Below are 15,612 nucleotides of genomic sequence, written 5' to 3' on the forward strand. Positions count from 1 at the left end.
TGAACTCGAGAGGCAAAGGTTGCAGTGATCCAAGATGGCACCATTGCACTCCAACCTGGGCGACAGAGCAAGACTCCATCTCAAAAAAAAAAAAAAAACAAAAACCAAAAACCAAAAATAACAACAACAACAAAAAAACATCTGATGTATCTCTCAGAAAGCAATATTCCATTTATGTTTCAGGACTGGATTTCTCTATGGGCTTATTGGTGTATATGGGAGACAGAGCACGTTCTAATAAATATTGTCAATATTTGCTTACAACAAATTTCTTTCTTCTTTTTTAAAATTTTCTTTATTTTAGTTTGAAAAAAAATAGAGATGGGGTCTCACTAGGTTGTCCAGGCTGAGCTTGAACTTCTGAGCTCAAGTGATCCTCTTGCCTTGGTTTCCCAAAGTGCTAGGATTATAGGCATGAGTCATTGTACCTAGTATCTCTCTCTCTCTCTTTTTTTTTTTTTTAAATAAAATAGAGACAGAGGCTAGGTGCGGTGGCTCATGCCTGTAATCCCAGCACTTTGGGAGGCTGAGGCAGGCAGATGACGAGGTCAGAAGTTCAAGACCAGCCTGGACGACATGACAAAACCCTGTCTCTACTGAAAATACAAAAATTAGCTGGGCATGGTGGCACATGCCTGTAGTCCCAGCTACTCAGGAGGCTGAGGCAGGAGAACCGCTTGAACTCGGGAAGCAGAGGTTGCAGTGAGCCGAGATCACACCATTGCACTCTAGCCTGGGTGACAGAGCGAGACTCTATCTCAAAAAATAAATAAATAAATAATAGAGACAGAGTATGACTATGTTGCCTAGGCTGTTCTTTAACTCCTGGTCTTAAGCAATCCTCCTGCCTTGCCCCTGCTAAAATGTTGGGATCACAGGTGAAGCCACCATGTCCAGCCTTTTTTTTTTTTTTTTTTTTTTTTGCTTTCTCTCTCTCTCTCTCTTTCATAAATTAGAGATGGAGTCTCACTATATTGCCCAGGCTAGTCTCAAATTCCTGGCCTTAAGTGATCCTCCCACCTCGTAATCTACTTTTTGGGGACTAATGAGGTGTAGCCAAAATACAACATGTGGGAGGCAGTAAATGTAGAGATTAGGAGTAGATTTGGCAAGCCAGACTGCTGTGGTCACACCCCAGCACAGAATTTATGAATCCGGCTCCTCTCCATTCAAATCTCTGCCAAAAATCACCTCCTTCTGGAGGCCCACCATGACTATTCTATTTAATACAGCTTACCCCACTGCCCTATCACTCTCTACACCATTCTCATTTTATTATGCTCAGAGTATCTATTATTCTCCGAAGAAGCATTTCTTGAAATCTAGCTGGTAATCTTCTTTCCTTATTAGAATGTAAGCTCCATGAGAGCAGGGATCTCTCTGTATCAGAATCTGTATTGTGCTTGGTAGGTAGTTGACTCAATAAACATTTCTGAGTGAATGAATATATTATATGGAAATTGAAGAATACAAGCTTCTCCACATAAGCACGTGGCAGAAAAGACAAAAAGAGAGGTAGAGAAAAAGACTCTCTTTTTATTTAAGCTTCCCTCCCCTGTTGAAATCCACTACTCCAAAAAAGGGAGACACTGACCAAAACAGAAACAAAAGAAACTAATTCTTGGTTTTTATGCTTCCTGATAATTTAAGGGATTTTCATAGATAGGTTTGACAAATGCAATTTTTTTGCCTTAGGCACTGGCACTAGAAACTATTAATAAACAAGATTGGCCTACAGAGGGTGCTAGTTCTCTTCAAAAAAGTAAAAGAAGTGCATGCGCTTTTCCACTGGGTCTGGGAAAGAGTTTACAAAACAAGCAGAGACACAGCTTAGTAACAACTAATGAAACGTCTAAATTGCCACATTTTGCTTCATAAAAAAAAAAAAAGGAGGAATCTGTGAAAGTGCCAGAGGCATTCAAAGACGTCCCCTGAGGAAAAGAATTGGCATCATTTTTCAAATGCAAAGAGAAGCTAAGCTAAGAGAAGCATCCATTTAAAAAGTTTTTTTAGTTCTTATTTTTGATAGAGAAGGGGTATCACTATGTTGACTGGCCTGATTTTGAACTCGGAGGCTCAAAGGATCCTCTGCCCCTCAGAGTGCTTGGATTGCAGGTGTGAGCTACCAAGAGAGGCATCCAGAAGTTGAAAAGACTGAATCTGTTGTGAAACAGAAGACCCAGGTCGGGGGAAGTTGTTGCCAGCCCTGGAGGGAGGAGAGGTGACAGGCCTCTGCCACATTCCACCCCCACTTCATGCTGGGACATGGGGACCTGGAGACCTAGTGTGAGATGCCTGTAGACTCTGTAACTGGAGGAGTGTTCTGACAGCTGTGTTTCCTGAAACTGAGTCTTGGTTTCAGAGTTCAGCAAGGGATATGCATGGTGGTGGTAGCGTTGGGACAGAAGCGGGGCACTACTTGAGAGTTTTGAAATATGTAATTTGTCACAGCAAGGACAAGGGCAAGTGAGCCTGGCAGGAGGGAGGAGCCTCTTCAAAGTCTGGATCTGCAAAAAAAATCTTCAGAAGAGGAAATGAAACAAATAAGCGAGTTCTTAAAAAAGCTTTTGAGCTCTCTAAATGAGCAATAGTTGAGGCAGCTTTGATAGTCCAAAGCTAACCTCAAGGCTGGGATTCTTTTATTTATTTATTTATTTATTTATTTATTTATTTATTTATTTATTTATTATTTTGTAGAGATGGGAAGGGGAGGGGTCTCACTATGTTGCCCAGCCTGGTCTTAAACTCCAGGCCTCAAGCAGTCCTCCAGCCTTGGCCTCCCAAAGTGTTGGAATTACAGGCATGAGCCACTGTGCCAGGAAAAGGTTAAGAGTCCTTTTTTTTTTTTTTTTTTTAACTTCAAGGCTGAGATTCTTAATCCTAGTACTCTAGACGTCATATTCCAGTGATCAGATGCAGAATCCATAAGTGCTCTGACAGGTCTTATCATTATGTGTGGTGTTTTCACTTAGTGAGTGCCCTTGTTTTGTCAGTTCAAGGTGGCTTGCTTAGTTACTTTATTGTAATGTTCAATGGCTAAACTTTAAACAAAAATCAATAAAGGGCAAGGAATGAGTTTGCAAAAACTATCAGCCACTTCCCTCAATTTAATTGTAAAATCAATCAAATCTGTTTTTTGGCACAGTGCAAGGAAAACATCTATTTGTCCAATAAACTGTCTCATTGATTAAATGGTTCATTTGGAAGAGATAACAAAAGTCTAAGATTTTAATCTCAAGGAAAAATGTATCTTGCAAACATGTTTTCAAGATCCTGAGATCATATTATTTTCCTTTAAGGATTTGCTTCATCCCAGGTGTTCATCTAATCCTACTTTTGCTATTTTTAATCATTATTCATCTATGTAAAATGGAAAATCTATTTAGATGCTTAAAAGTCAACGTAAGCTCACAAACCTGAATTTCAGCAACTAAAAAGGGAGAAGTAATAATGATTCAGTTCTTACTGGGAGCTACTTTATACACTATTTTATTTGGACCTCATAACAACTATATGAGAGAGAACTGTGCACTCTCTGCCAGGGGTTAGGGTTAACATAAAGCCAAAACCCAGGCAGGTCACGAAAATGAGCAAAGCAGGCCAGTTATGAGTGCTGTCACCTTACAAGGAGGTGGAAACAATGTTTCCGGATCCTGTTTCTTAAGAGAAGCCAAAAGATTTACGTAAAGTCTCCTGATTTTTTTTCAATGGTGGTAATTGATTAAAATAAATATTTCCAATACTGTATGTACTGAATAAAGAAAATTTGGGGCTGACCCTGGCCCAGCAACTGCCACTTAGCAATGTCTGGTATTGAAGTGAAAATAAGGCTCAGGGCTGGGCACGGTGGCTCATGCCTGTAATCCTAGCACTTTAGGAGGCCATGGTGGGCAGATTGCTTGAACCCAGGAGTTCCAGACTAGCCTGGGCAACATGATGAAATCCTGTCTCTACAAAAAGTACCAAAAAAAATCAGCCAAGCATGGTGGCAGGCACCTGTAGTCTCAGCTACTTGGGAGGCTGAGGTGGGAGGATTGCTTGAGTCCAGGAGGCCGAGGTTGCAGTGAGCTGAGATTACACTACTACACTTCTGCCTGGGCAACAGAGCAAGACTCTGTCTCAAAAAGAAAAGGCTCAGGAAGGTGACATCACTATGCTAATTCAAGGAGGAATGAAAGAGTGACCTCATGGGACAGTAGATCAGAGAATGTTCTACCTGGTGGCCAGCCTATTTGTGGGGAGGGGTCCCTAAGAAGAGGCTGTATGCTGGCTTGGGTTATGGAGGGCCAAAGCTCAGGGGCCTGGGGGAAGGAGAGAAGCTTAACCAAAGTTTGGCTAACAGGCATTTTGTTCTGATTGATCAGTGGTGACAAGCAGTTCAGCTAGTCATTTAGGAGGTCAAAAACAGAAGACTGGAAGATCCCTATCTAGTTTTGTCATCAGTAGACAAAGGGGCACTCATGAAACTTGTCTAAGTCATACGGGGAAGGGTGGCCCCTTGCAGTAAGTCATTTTCCAGAACGTAAAAGGGCAATGGGCTTTCTTAACCTTCAGGTAAAATTCCACTTTGTCAAAACATAAGCATGATGTAGACAAAGGTTGAGAGTGAGATCAGGCTTATTGCCCAGTCTTAAGCCATTTAAACCCAAGGTGGACTTTCCCCTCAGGAAAGAAGGGAAGGAAAGAAGCTAGGAAGGCCCTGGCTAGGTTCTGTGTGGGTTGGGGAATGTGAATCCTGATGGAGCAGCCTAAAGAAGTCAAGCAGTCCTGTAGCAGCAGCCGTGGGGGAGGTTCCTCCTGGGAGTGGAGGAGGGCGAGTGCTGCAGGTCCATCAGTGGAAATGGGAATGGACCATTAGGCGGAGAAGACTTATCGAAGCTGCGAAGTCCAAGATCAAGGTGCCAGCAGATTCTGTTCCTGGTGAAGGCTATCTTCCTGTTTTGCAGGTGGCTACCTTCTCGCTGTGTCCTCATATGGTGGAGAGTGAGACTTCATCTAAAAAGAAAAAAAAAAACCCACTCCGGACATAGTGACTGTAGCTGGGTCTTGGACTGCAAGAAGACCATCCTGGTGAGAAGATCTTGACCACAGGTGATATTCACCTTGGATAAAAAACATTCTGATAATTCAGAATGTTTGTGCAAATAAGATTTCTAACCCAGTTCTATGGAGGTATAATTTATATATGGTAAAATTCACCTCTTTAGGTATTCAGTTTATGAATTTTGAGAAATGCAATCACCAGCCACTACAGTGAAGATTCAGAACATTTCCATCACCCCAGAAAGCCTCCTAGTGACCCTTTGGAGTCAGTCCCCTCCCCTCAGCCTGAGCTCCTGGTGACCAGTGATCTGATTTCTATCCATGTACTTCTCCCTTTTCCAGAGCATCACCTGAGTGGAACCGCACAGTATTCCACCACAGTATTTTGCATCCGACTTCTTTTCCTTGGCATGTGCTTTTGAGATTCATCCTTTGCTGTTATATTATCAGTGGTTTGTTCCTTTTTGTGGAGAGTATTTTATTGTTTGGATATACCACAGTGTGTTTATTAGTTTATCGCCAGTAGATGGACATTTGTATTGTTTCCTGTTTCTGGCTGTTAGGAATAAAGTTAATATAAATATAAAAAAAAAAAAACCCAATAAAACAAGAAGCTAGAAAGTTGCTAGTTTTCAGTAGAGGGGGACAGGCTGCTGTAGAAGCTCAGGACTGCTCTGCTTTTGGCACCCAAAGGTGAGAGTGTTTTGCTGAAGGCAGCAGCTGTGAGGAGTGACAACTCCACCAAAGTCAAGGAAGCAGGTGTAGAACAGGCAGGTCATAGGTGGCAATCTGTGGTCCTAAAATACCCTGGAAAAGACCGGGAGCCCTTACAGGATTGAGAAACCAAGAGAAAATGTGGGGCAAAAAAATTCCTCAGGTTTCATTCACAGTCATCCCCACAGCCATCTTAAGTCATCAAGAAAGATTCGGAAAAGCTCCGAGAATCAGCAGATGGGGGCTAGTGCAAAATAATACTTTTTGTCTTAATTATTAGTAATCTCAATCCCTCACTCAATTCTTAGGTTGATGCCTGGGAGGTAATATTTACTACCTTGCATTTCCATAAATGGTGACCTTTTTTATATGGATGTTGGACACCAGGGAATGCTCTTAAGTTAACTGCATTTCATCAGATCCCCCTACTATTTAAATTGATCTTATTTCTATCATTTCACCTCAAGATTTATTGTTCTTATCTTACATTCTAAAGAACTGAGGGCTGTCTTTGAAGTGGATATGAAAAGTTTCACCTCAGTCTACCAATATATCATTGAAAGTTTAAAATAACAAATACAAGAACAAAAATACTCTCCACTTGTCCAAGCATCCCAGGAGGTCTCTGTATTGTTTAAATTACTTCTGAGTTTAAATTGCAATTGCTCTAGTAAATTAGCTAACATCTGCTGTCTGCCTGATGATGAAGACCACCCTACTAGAAACCAAATACACTCTTTGCTTGAGTCATTTATTTACTATCCAGGACAACACTGACTCACAGCAGTATAATATGAGCCACATTTTATTTTAAATGTTGTAATAGTAACCACATTTTAAAAAGTGGGAACAGATAAAATTAATTTAATAATACATATTTAGCTCAGTTTATCAAAAGTATAATTTCAATACATAATCAATATAAAAATTATTATTATTATTTTGAGATGGGATCTTGCTCTGGCACCCAGGCTGGAGTGCAGTGGAGCTCACTGTAACCTCAACCTCCTGGGCTCAAATGATCCTTCTGTCTCAGCCTCCTGAATAGCTGGGACCACAGGCACACATCACAATCCTGGCTAATTTTTTAATTCAACTTTTCTTTTCTTTTTTGAAATGGAATTTCACTCTTGTTGCCTAGGCTGGAGTGCAATAGCACAATCTCAGCTCACCGCAACCTCCACCCCCCGGGTTCAAGCAATTCTCCTGCCTCAGCCTCCTGAGTAGCTGGGATTACAGGCATGAGCCACCACTCCTGGCTAATTTTGTATTTTTAGTAGAGACGGGGTTTCTCCATGTTGATCAGGCTGGTCTCGAACTCCCAACCTCAGGTGATCCGCCCACCTTGGCCTCACAAAGTGCTGGGATTACAGGTGTGAGCCACCGTGCCTGGCCTTATTTAACTTTTTAATTTAATTTTTTATTAATTATTTTTTTATTTAATTATTTTATTTAGAAATTTTTATGTAGAGATGAGGTCTCACTATGTTGCCCAGACTGGTCTCTAACTCCTGACCTCAAGTGATCCTTCTGCCTCAACCTTCCAAAGTGCTGGGATCATAGGTATGAGCCACCACACTCAGCCAATACAAAAATTATTAATGAGATATTTTATATTCTTTTGTCTTCATACTAAGTCTTCAAAATTATGTGTGTATTATAATCTTATAGCACATCTCAATTTGGACCTGCTACTGAAGGAGATTAGCCACCCCAAAATATGCCACTTTGGCAAAACGATTATTTTGAGCTGAAAGCAATTATGAATTAACAGACGCTGGAAGGAGGTCTCTGCCCTCTCCTTATCTGCCTAAAATCAGAGCATAAACTTCCCTTGGTGCAGGTCCCCTCTCCAACCCTCCCCTGCCAGGAAAGGAAGAATGACTATTATCATTGGAGAGGAGGAGTCAACACTGAGATGAGTTTGCACAAACAGAACTTACTAAAATAACCTTTACCTTCCATTGGTTCTCTCATCATTTTGTAGTTACTTCCCTATGATTTACCATCCTTTGAAGCCCAAACTCTTTTCTCTTTGTTAAAATGGTATATAAGCCCTCAAGTCTAACTGCTTCTTTGAGTTTCACTTCTATTATGTGAACTCCCATGCACATAACTATTAATAAACATTGTGTGCCTTTTCTCTTATTAATCTGTCTTTTGTTAGTTTAATTTATTTAACTTAAGAAGATGGAGGAAAAGTTTTTCTTCCCCATCACTACATTTCAAGTGCTTAATAGCCACATAAAGCTAGTGGCTATATATTAGACAATGCAGGTCTAGGAGAATATGTAGCATAAATCATTTCTAATCTACACTTTATTTTTTTTTCTTATGCAAAACCTATTTTTGTCAGTACTTTTTCCATGGTTGCAGAAAATCAGCATAAACAGTGTTACATTTTAGCAGCTACCAGCAATTAGTAACGTAATGGAGTCTGTAATACTTTAGTTTTATATTCTTGAAGGTTTCAGAGCATGAGAAAAAGACCAGTCCTTTCCCAAATTTCTTCGTACTTTGGTCCTGAAAAAGCTATTACTAATAGTTCTGCAAAGTGAAAAAAAGTAAATCTCAATTTAAAAATTACACGTGGTTTTAAAAACAAATAAATACAAAACGAGACTATATCAAAAAGCCAGGCACGGTGGCTCAAACCTGTAATCCCAGCACTTTGGGAGGCTGAGGTGGGTGGATCATGAGGTCAGTTGTTCAAGACCAGCCTGGCCAACATGGTGAAACCCCATCTCTACTAAAGATACAAAAATTAGCTGGGTGTGGTCATAGGCACCTGTAATCCCAGCTACTCAGGAGGCTGAGGCAGAGAATTGCTTGAACGTGGGAGGCAGAGACTGCAGTGAGCCGGGTTGTGTCACTGCACTCCAGCCTGGGCGACAGAGCGACAGAGTGAGACTCCTTCTCAAAAAAAGAAAGACTAAATCAAAGTAAGAATTCACTTTGTACTTTGCTGGAATTTTCTATTCTGTAGTCAATGGTGGTTTCTAGTAGTGCAGGGTAGGGAAACTCCAGAGCCCAACTAAAATAACCACATGTTCTGAAGTTAATTAAAAGTATAAATTAGTGTTATAAATAGCAAGATGTCCCATTCAATGGTTTTAATTATTTTACTTCTTTGAAACAACAAATGGATTTGATTAAAGAATAATTTGATCTATTAAAATGTAATTAAAGGCATGTGTTTGAGCACTTCCATTATTTCTCCAAAAATATAAAGATGTGCCCTTTATCCCTTTGTATATATATTTTGGCTGCATTTAAAATTTACACAAGTGTTCAATACCTAAAATCTAAAAGTAGGATTAGATGTAAAATTCCCACATGATTGTTATTTTATTTTTCCCACCACCATATCAGACATGAAAGATGAATTGCGAATCTTCTTCCTACTTTTCTTTCATGCTCTGCTCTGCTCTGAATGAAGACTCATGCTGTAGCAGTTAAATGAAAATAAGATCTTTTTTCCTTTGGCTTATCGTTACTAACAAAGGATTTTTTTTGGGGGGGGGGTGGTAATAATTCCTGGTAAAGGAGAAGAAAAAAACTCATCATTAACAGGCCCAGCAGACTTTATGGTGATATCAATTAAATTTTTGATAAATGAATGACTCTCTGAGTAAATGAATGGATATGGCCATGACATAGGATGTAACAAATACTCAGGAACCTGGTATTAGAATCAATGCCCAGTTCTGAGAAGGCTCTGAGTGTCATCCATAGTCCTTATGCAGTCTTCCACGTGTGATTACTCCATGATGACTATTCTCTGGAAGCTTATATAAAAATAAATCTGCAGAAGGTTAGGGATGTTTGGGGCTGTTAGTACAATTCTTCAAAGGAGCTGAAGGTCTGATCAGATCTGTACAACTTTGCACATCTTGCATCCTGCCACTTCCCCAAATCTCTGCTGTTTAGTTCAGCTATTACTGCAACTATTCACTTAAAAAACGAACTGTCAAGAAAACAAGTTGTGGCTCTACTGAAGCCTAAAGCCAACCACACTGTGTTGCTTCTAGCCTTGTTTTGTGTTCTGATTCTATGCCAGGGGTTTAACTTACAGTTCACGGACTCCTACTTGGATCATGGCTTTGGGAAGTCTATGAACTTCCGGAAATAGCATGAGTCTTCTTTTTTTCTTTTTCATTTTTATACCAAGGGCTTTCAGTGGATTCTTGCAGAACCAAGAACCACTGCGCAAAGCACACGTGCACACTGGGAACTGAGAAGCAACACTGTCATAATCAGTCAACTGAGAAGAGCCCACTGATGCCTGACTGCCAAGGACCCTGCTAAGCTGCTTTGCGTCAAGAGAACAGACAATCCTGGCTTGGCACATTACATTTCAGCAATGGGGTGTCCTTTGGACTAGCGGCTTCCATTCAGTCCACACACAACTGTAAACCACACTGGGCTTTACGGATCAGAATTTTTAACTATAGAGAAAAGATCGTGCACGGGGGTAGTATATCAAATTGCTGTGCCCGGGTCTTCTACACCACACCTATACAGGGGTGGTGATTGAAGTTAAGAGCATCACTTTTTTTTTTCTTTTTTGAGACAGAATGTTCCTCTGTCGACCAGGCTGGAGTGCAACGGCGCGATGTCGGCTCACTGCAACATCTACCTCCCTAGTTCAAGCGATTTTTGTGCCTCAGCCTCCCGAGTAGCTGGGATTATAGGTACCTGCCACCATGGCTGGCTAATTTTTGTATTTTTAGTAGAGACAGAGTTTTGCCATGTCGGCCAGGCTGGTTTCGAACTCCTAACCTCCAGTGATCCGCCTGCTTCGGCCTCCCAAAGTGCTGGGATTACTGGTGTGAGCCACCGCACCTGGTCGAGAGCATCAGGTTTTGATACAATAAACAAAAGTAGAACTTGACCGTGAGGTAATTGCCATGTCATACCATGGAAATAGCTGCATGAGGGATGGCTGAGGATATTCATCTCTACAAATCATTTTCAAAGTTTATCTAGGTTATTGAACCAAAAAACCATGGGAAAAAAACAATGGTATGTATTCTTTCACACTTGATCTTAGAAGCCATGGTATGTATTCTTTTATTCCAAATACTTATCAAGCTCATCTAATAAGAGCAATTTATCTCCCTGAGAAACTTTGTGCTTCTGCCTTGGCCCATGTTAATGAGCCATGTTTGGCTCATGGTGGCTCATTCCCATAATTCCAGCCCACCTTAATGTACTAAAGGACAAAATCACACGATTTTCTCTTATATATGAGAATCAATTGTGAACTTTTGAAAAAGGTGTTTACAAAGCCAGTAATAGATAAAAAGTTTTTTAAGTTGCCAAAAATCAGCAGCAAATTTAACATTTCTTGGGTAAATATTAGAAGCATTTCCTTTAAGGTTGAGAATGAGCTAGGATGCCTCTTGTTTTTTTGTTCTGTCTTAAAAATTGTTTTGAGACAGTCCTGCTTCAGCCCCACAAAGTATTTTGGGATTACAGGCATGAGCCAGCATGCCCGGCCTCTATGAGGCCTTTTAAATTACCTTTTCTTCCATGTAATATTGGGAATTTTGATCAAGAGACATAAGTAAGCAAAAAGATCAGAAGAAAGAGAGTCAGGAGACTCAGCTGTCATTATTTACAGATGATATAAATATTCACAGAAAACTCACAAGAGAATTGGCAGAATCTGTTTAGAATTGTGAATAGAGTTCAGCAGAGTTCCAGAGGCCTTTCTGAGCTCTATTAACCTAGGAATTAACCTAACAAAAATGCCCAGCTTCTCTTGAAGAAATCTTTAAAATTCTACGAAAGCTGTATTTTTCCAACTTTAACGTACCTCCAGATAACCTGGGGATGTTTAAAAAGCAGATTCTGATTCGGTAGCTCGGGGGTGGGGCGGAGCCTGCGTTGACATTTCAAAGCCTGTCAGGTGATGCAGCAGGCCCTGTACAACACTTTGGGTTGATGGTCCTGATGCACTTAAAGAATACATGCAGACAGAAGGCATGCTCATGTGGGGACTCTTTACCATTGCAAAGACTCTCATTCTCTCCAAACTAGTCTATGATTTTTAATACCATTCTCACCAAAATCCCAGTAAAATTTGGGGGTCAGAGGTACTTACTTAATTTACATGAAAAAGGTCAACTTTCAGAAAAAAAAGTGGGGAAAATGGAGAATTTGGCTACCATATATTAAGACATGTAACAAAACCAGGGTAATTAAAAAACACCACCACCAATTTGATAATGCCCAGGAACAGACAATAAAACAATGGAACAGAATATAGAAACAACCCAGAAACAGACCACATGATATTGATTTATGAAAGAGATGGCATCAAAACTTTGTGGCTCATGCCTGTAACCCCAGCATTTTGAGAGGCCAAGGAGGGAGGATTGCTTGAGGCCAGAAGTTCGAGACAAGCCTGTGCAATATAGTGAGACCCCATCTCCATTATTAATAATAAAAAAAAAAACCTTGGTGAAACAAAAAATACATTGATAAATGGTATGCACAAAACTGGCTTACTAGATGGAGAGGATAAAAAATTCTCTCTCTGACACACACACACACACACACACACACACACACACACACACACACAGTCTAAGCTAAATACCTGAAGTTGTTTATGCTTCTGGTAGAGATTGGTCTTGGGCTTCTGATTCAGAGGCAGAAAGCAGAGGCGAAAGACACACTCTTTCTTTTTTTTTTTCCTTTTTTTTTTTGAGACAGAGTCTCGCTCCACTGGCAGGCTGGAGTGCAGTGGGGTGATCTTGGCTCACTGCAACCTCCACCTCCTGGATTCAAGCAATTCTCCTGCCTCAGCCTCCCGAGTAGCTGGGACTACAGATGCGTGCCACCACACCGGCTAATTTTTGTATTTTCAGTAGAGACGGGGTTTCACCCCATTGGCCAGGATGGTCTCGATCTCTTGACCTCGTGATCCACCCGCCTCGGCCTCCCAAAGTGCTGGGATTACAGGGGTGAGCCACCACACCCGGCCAAGACACACTCTTTCAAGCAAGCTTCCTGCATCAGCACATGGGATCCACTACTTAACTCCTTCAGTTAGTCACTCTTGGCCTTGCCATTCATGGAAATTCCTCTGAGATTCTCACAACAAGCCAGTTCTCATACATTGTCTCAGTATATGGTATTGTGAATTGAGTTTTATGATTTCTTTTTTTTGGTCTTCATTAGTATTTTATTGCAAACTTGGAAAAAGGCACGTGAGGAGCTGATAATCTTATCCAGGTTTAACTACACTCAACTTTTTGATTATTGAAGCCAATGCATTAAAGGTTTTCTCTAACTCTGTGTTGTTCACAAATTTTATTTTCATATCCTTGTTTTCATTCAAGTTCATAATGACTATTTGAATAGGTCAGAGTCATAGACAAAGCTCTCAGACAAATAATTAAGAGCTTTCCCACAAAGCTGGTATAGACCTACTGGTTGACCCTACGTGGGGATAAGGCACTTCCTGATTCTTTCCCTTTGTATCCCTCCTCTCTATAGCTTAGGCCACCTGACTTCTCTCTATGGGCGTGGTCTCCCCCATTTGTCTAGGGATAATACTCAGAATTTGAAGGTCTCCAGACCAAAAATCTAGAACTCAGCACAGGATTGTGATTCCTCCTTGTACAGTGCTGGCCCTTAGGGCTAACAGCCGAGCTTCTGCCATGCATGTGACCCTTTCTTTTTTCTTTTTCTTTTTCTTTTTTTTGACAGGGTCTAACTGTGGCCCAGGCTGGAATGCTGCGGCATCATTACAGCTCACTGCAGCTTCGACCTCCCCAGCTCAAGTGATCCTCCTGCCTCAGCCTCCCGACTAGCTGGGACCACAGGCATGTGCGACACCAACCAGCTAATGTTTTTTTTTTTTGTTTTTTTTTTGTTGTTGTTGTTGTTTGTTTGTTTGTTTTTAGTAGAGATGATGTCACATTATGTTGCCCAAACTCATAGCTGGTCTTGAACTCCTGCCCCCAAGTGATCCTCCTGCCTTGGCCTCCCAAAGTGCTAGGATTATAGGCATGAGCCATTGCACCTGGCCAATGCTTTCTGAAATTACCGTTTCAATAAACTGCTTTTTATCCCCATTATTCTCTAACTGGAGTACCTTTATATTTTTTTAAAAACATGTTTAAACTTGGGATCTTTTCATCCATTTTGCATATATCCTCATGCAGAGACTTCTCCCCACCCATACCCCAATACTAAAATTACAAGCCTGTGGCCTGTCCATCTTTCTGTGGTGCCCATTCTTGCCTGCCGAGGACTACCATTTGCTCCTGACTCAAGTACACTGCCCACTTATTAGTGTGCCCACCATTCCCATTAGACACTTGCCAACCTCCCCCATCCTCTTTGTTTGCCTGAACCATGTATCTGTTTGTTACCTGTCACAGTATCTTTATTTTTTAAAATTTATTTTAATTGTAAATTGACAGATTATAGTTGTATATATTTATGAGATTGTTGTGGCTCAGAAAACAATATCCCAAAGTGAAGGCCTCAGAGGTAGCCTCAGAAGCAAGTTCTCTCTGACCTTCTCCTTCCCTCCTGTCTCTGGCCCATCAGTCTCCCCCGAGGCTAGCCATAAAAACTATAATCCTTCTTCCCCAAGGTGTGTTATAGAAACTAGAACTCCTGTTCCTCAAAGCCAGCCATAAAACCTAAAAACATTACTCTAACCTCCTGCCACTCCCCGACCTTCCTGTGTAAGACCTGGCCATAAAGAAATCTCTGACTTACATTGTTTAACGATAGGTCATAAGACACTCATTCCAAAAAGGGTTCTGCCTCATACCTGGAAGGAAGACAGCTGCACAGAGAGGCCAGGAAGAACCTTAACAGACAGGCCTTGCTGGGATTCCCCACTCGGTCTATTTCCATAAGATTATACCTTTTCTGTCCAAACACAGTTCTACACTGCGGTCCATTCTTCATGGAACCTAAGTATAAAAATGGATGGTTTTACCTGTATCTTTGGGTCTTCATTCTAAAGGCTCCCATGTCATATAAAACTATGATTAAATAAATTTGTATGCTTTTCTCTTGTTAACCTGTCCTTTTTTATAGGAGTGTCAGCTTGGACCCTCAGGATGGGGAGAAAAGGGATCACCCCCTTTCTATCCCTATGAGGTACAAAGTGATGTTATGGTTCTCTTTTTCTTTTTTTTTTTTTGAGACAGGATCTGGCTTTGTCACCCAGGCTAGAGTGCAGTGGCACAATCTCGGCTCAGTGCAACCTCTGTCTCCCGTGCTGAAGCAATCCTCCCACCTCTGCCTCCCGAGTAGCTGAGACTACAGGTGCACGCCACCAAGCCCAGCTAGCTTTTGTAATTTTGGTAGAGACAGGGTTTTGCCATGTTGCCCAGGCTGGTCTTGAACTCCTGGGCTCAAAGCGATCTACCGCCTTGACCTCCCAAAGTGCTGGGATTATAGACGTGAGCCACCAGGCCCAGCCCATGATGTTATGACTTATGAATACAATGCGGAGTAATTAAATCAAGCTAAATAACATATACATCACCTCAAATACTTTTTTTTTGTGGTGAAGACATTGGAAATTTACTGTCTTAGCAATTTTGAAAAGTACTATACACGATTATTAACTACCTTCACCACGCAGTGCAATTTATCTCAAAACCAAACCAAAACACAACCTTGCTCCTCCTGTCTAACTGAGGCTGTATACTTTGACCATCAACTCCTCATTCCCCCAGCCCCCAGCCTCTGGTAACCACCATTCTACTCTCTGTTTCTATGAGTTTGATTGTTTTAGATTCCAAATATAAGTGAAGACATACAGTATTTGTCTTTCTGTGCCTGGCTTATTGCACTTAGCATAATGTTCCCTAA

The 15,612-nt window shown here is 41.1% G+C and overlaps 1 long non-coding RNA gene across 1 annotated transcript in view, besides 1 other annotated feature; it reads left to right on the forward strand.

The window, feature by feature from the left end:
• Positions 2,500–2,549: an enhancer, noted in NCBI's record as "active region_6759". NCBI's record gives its function as "activates an Ori minimal core promoter by ATAC-STARR-seq in GM12878 lymphoblastoid cells {active_cell/tissue: GM12878}" and the evidence as "EXISTENCE:reporter gene assay evidence [ECO:0000049][PMID:35858748]".
• The window catches only part of LINC02413 (long intergenic non-protein coding RNA 2413), a 28,863-nt gene continuing 18,255 nt past the window's right edge, over positions 5,005–15,612 (forward strand). The window contains exon 1 of the long non-coding RNA XR_945212.3: positions 5,005–5,070. This is a non-coding gene — a long non-coding RNA (long intergenic non-protein coding RNA 2413). The remainder of the gene's footprint in view (positions 5,071–15,612) is intronic.

Source organism: Homo sapiens, chromosome 12 (assembly GCF_000001405.40).
Source record: "Homo sapiens chromosome 12, GRCh38.p14 Primary Assembly".
NCBI lineage: Eukaryota > Metazoa > Chordata > Mammalia > Primates > Hominidae > Homo > Homo sapiens.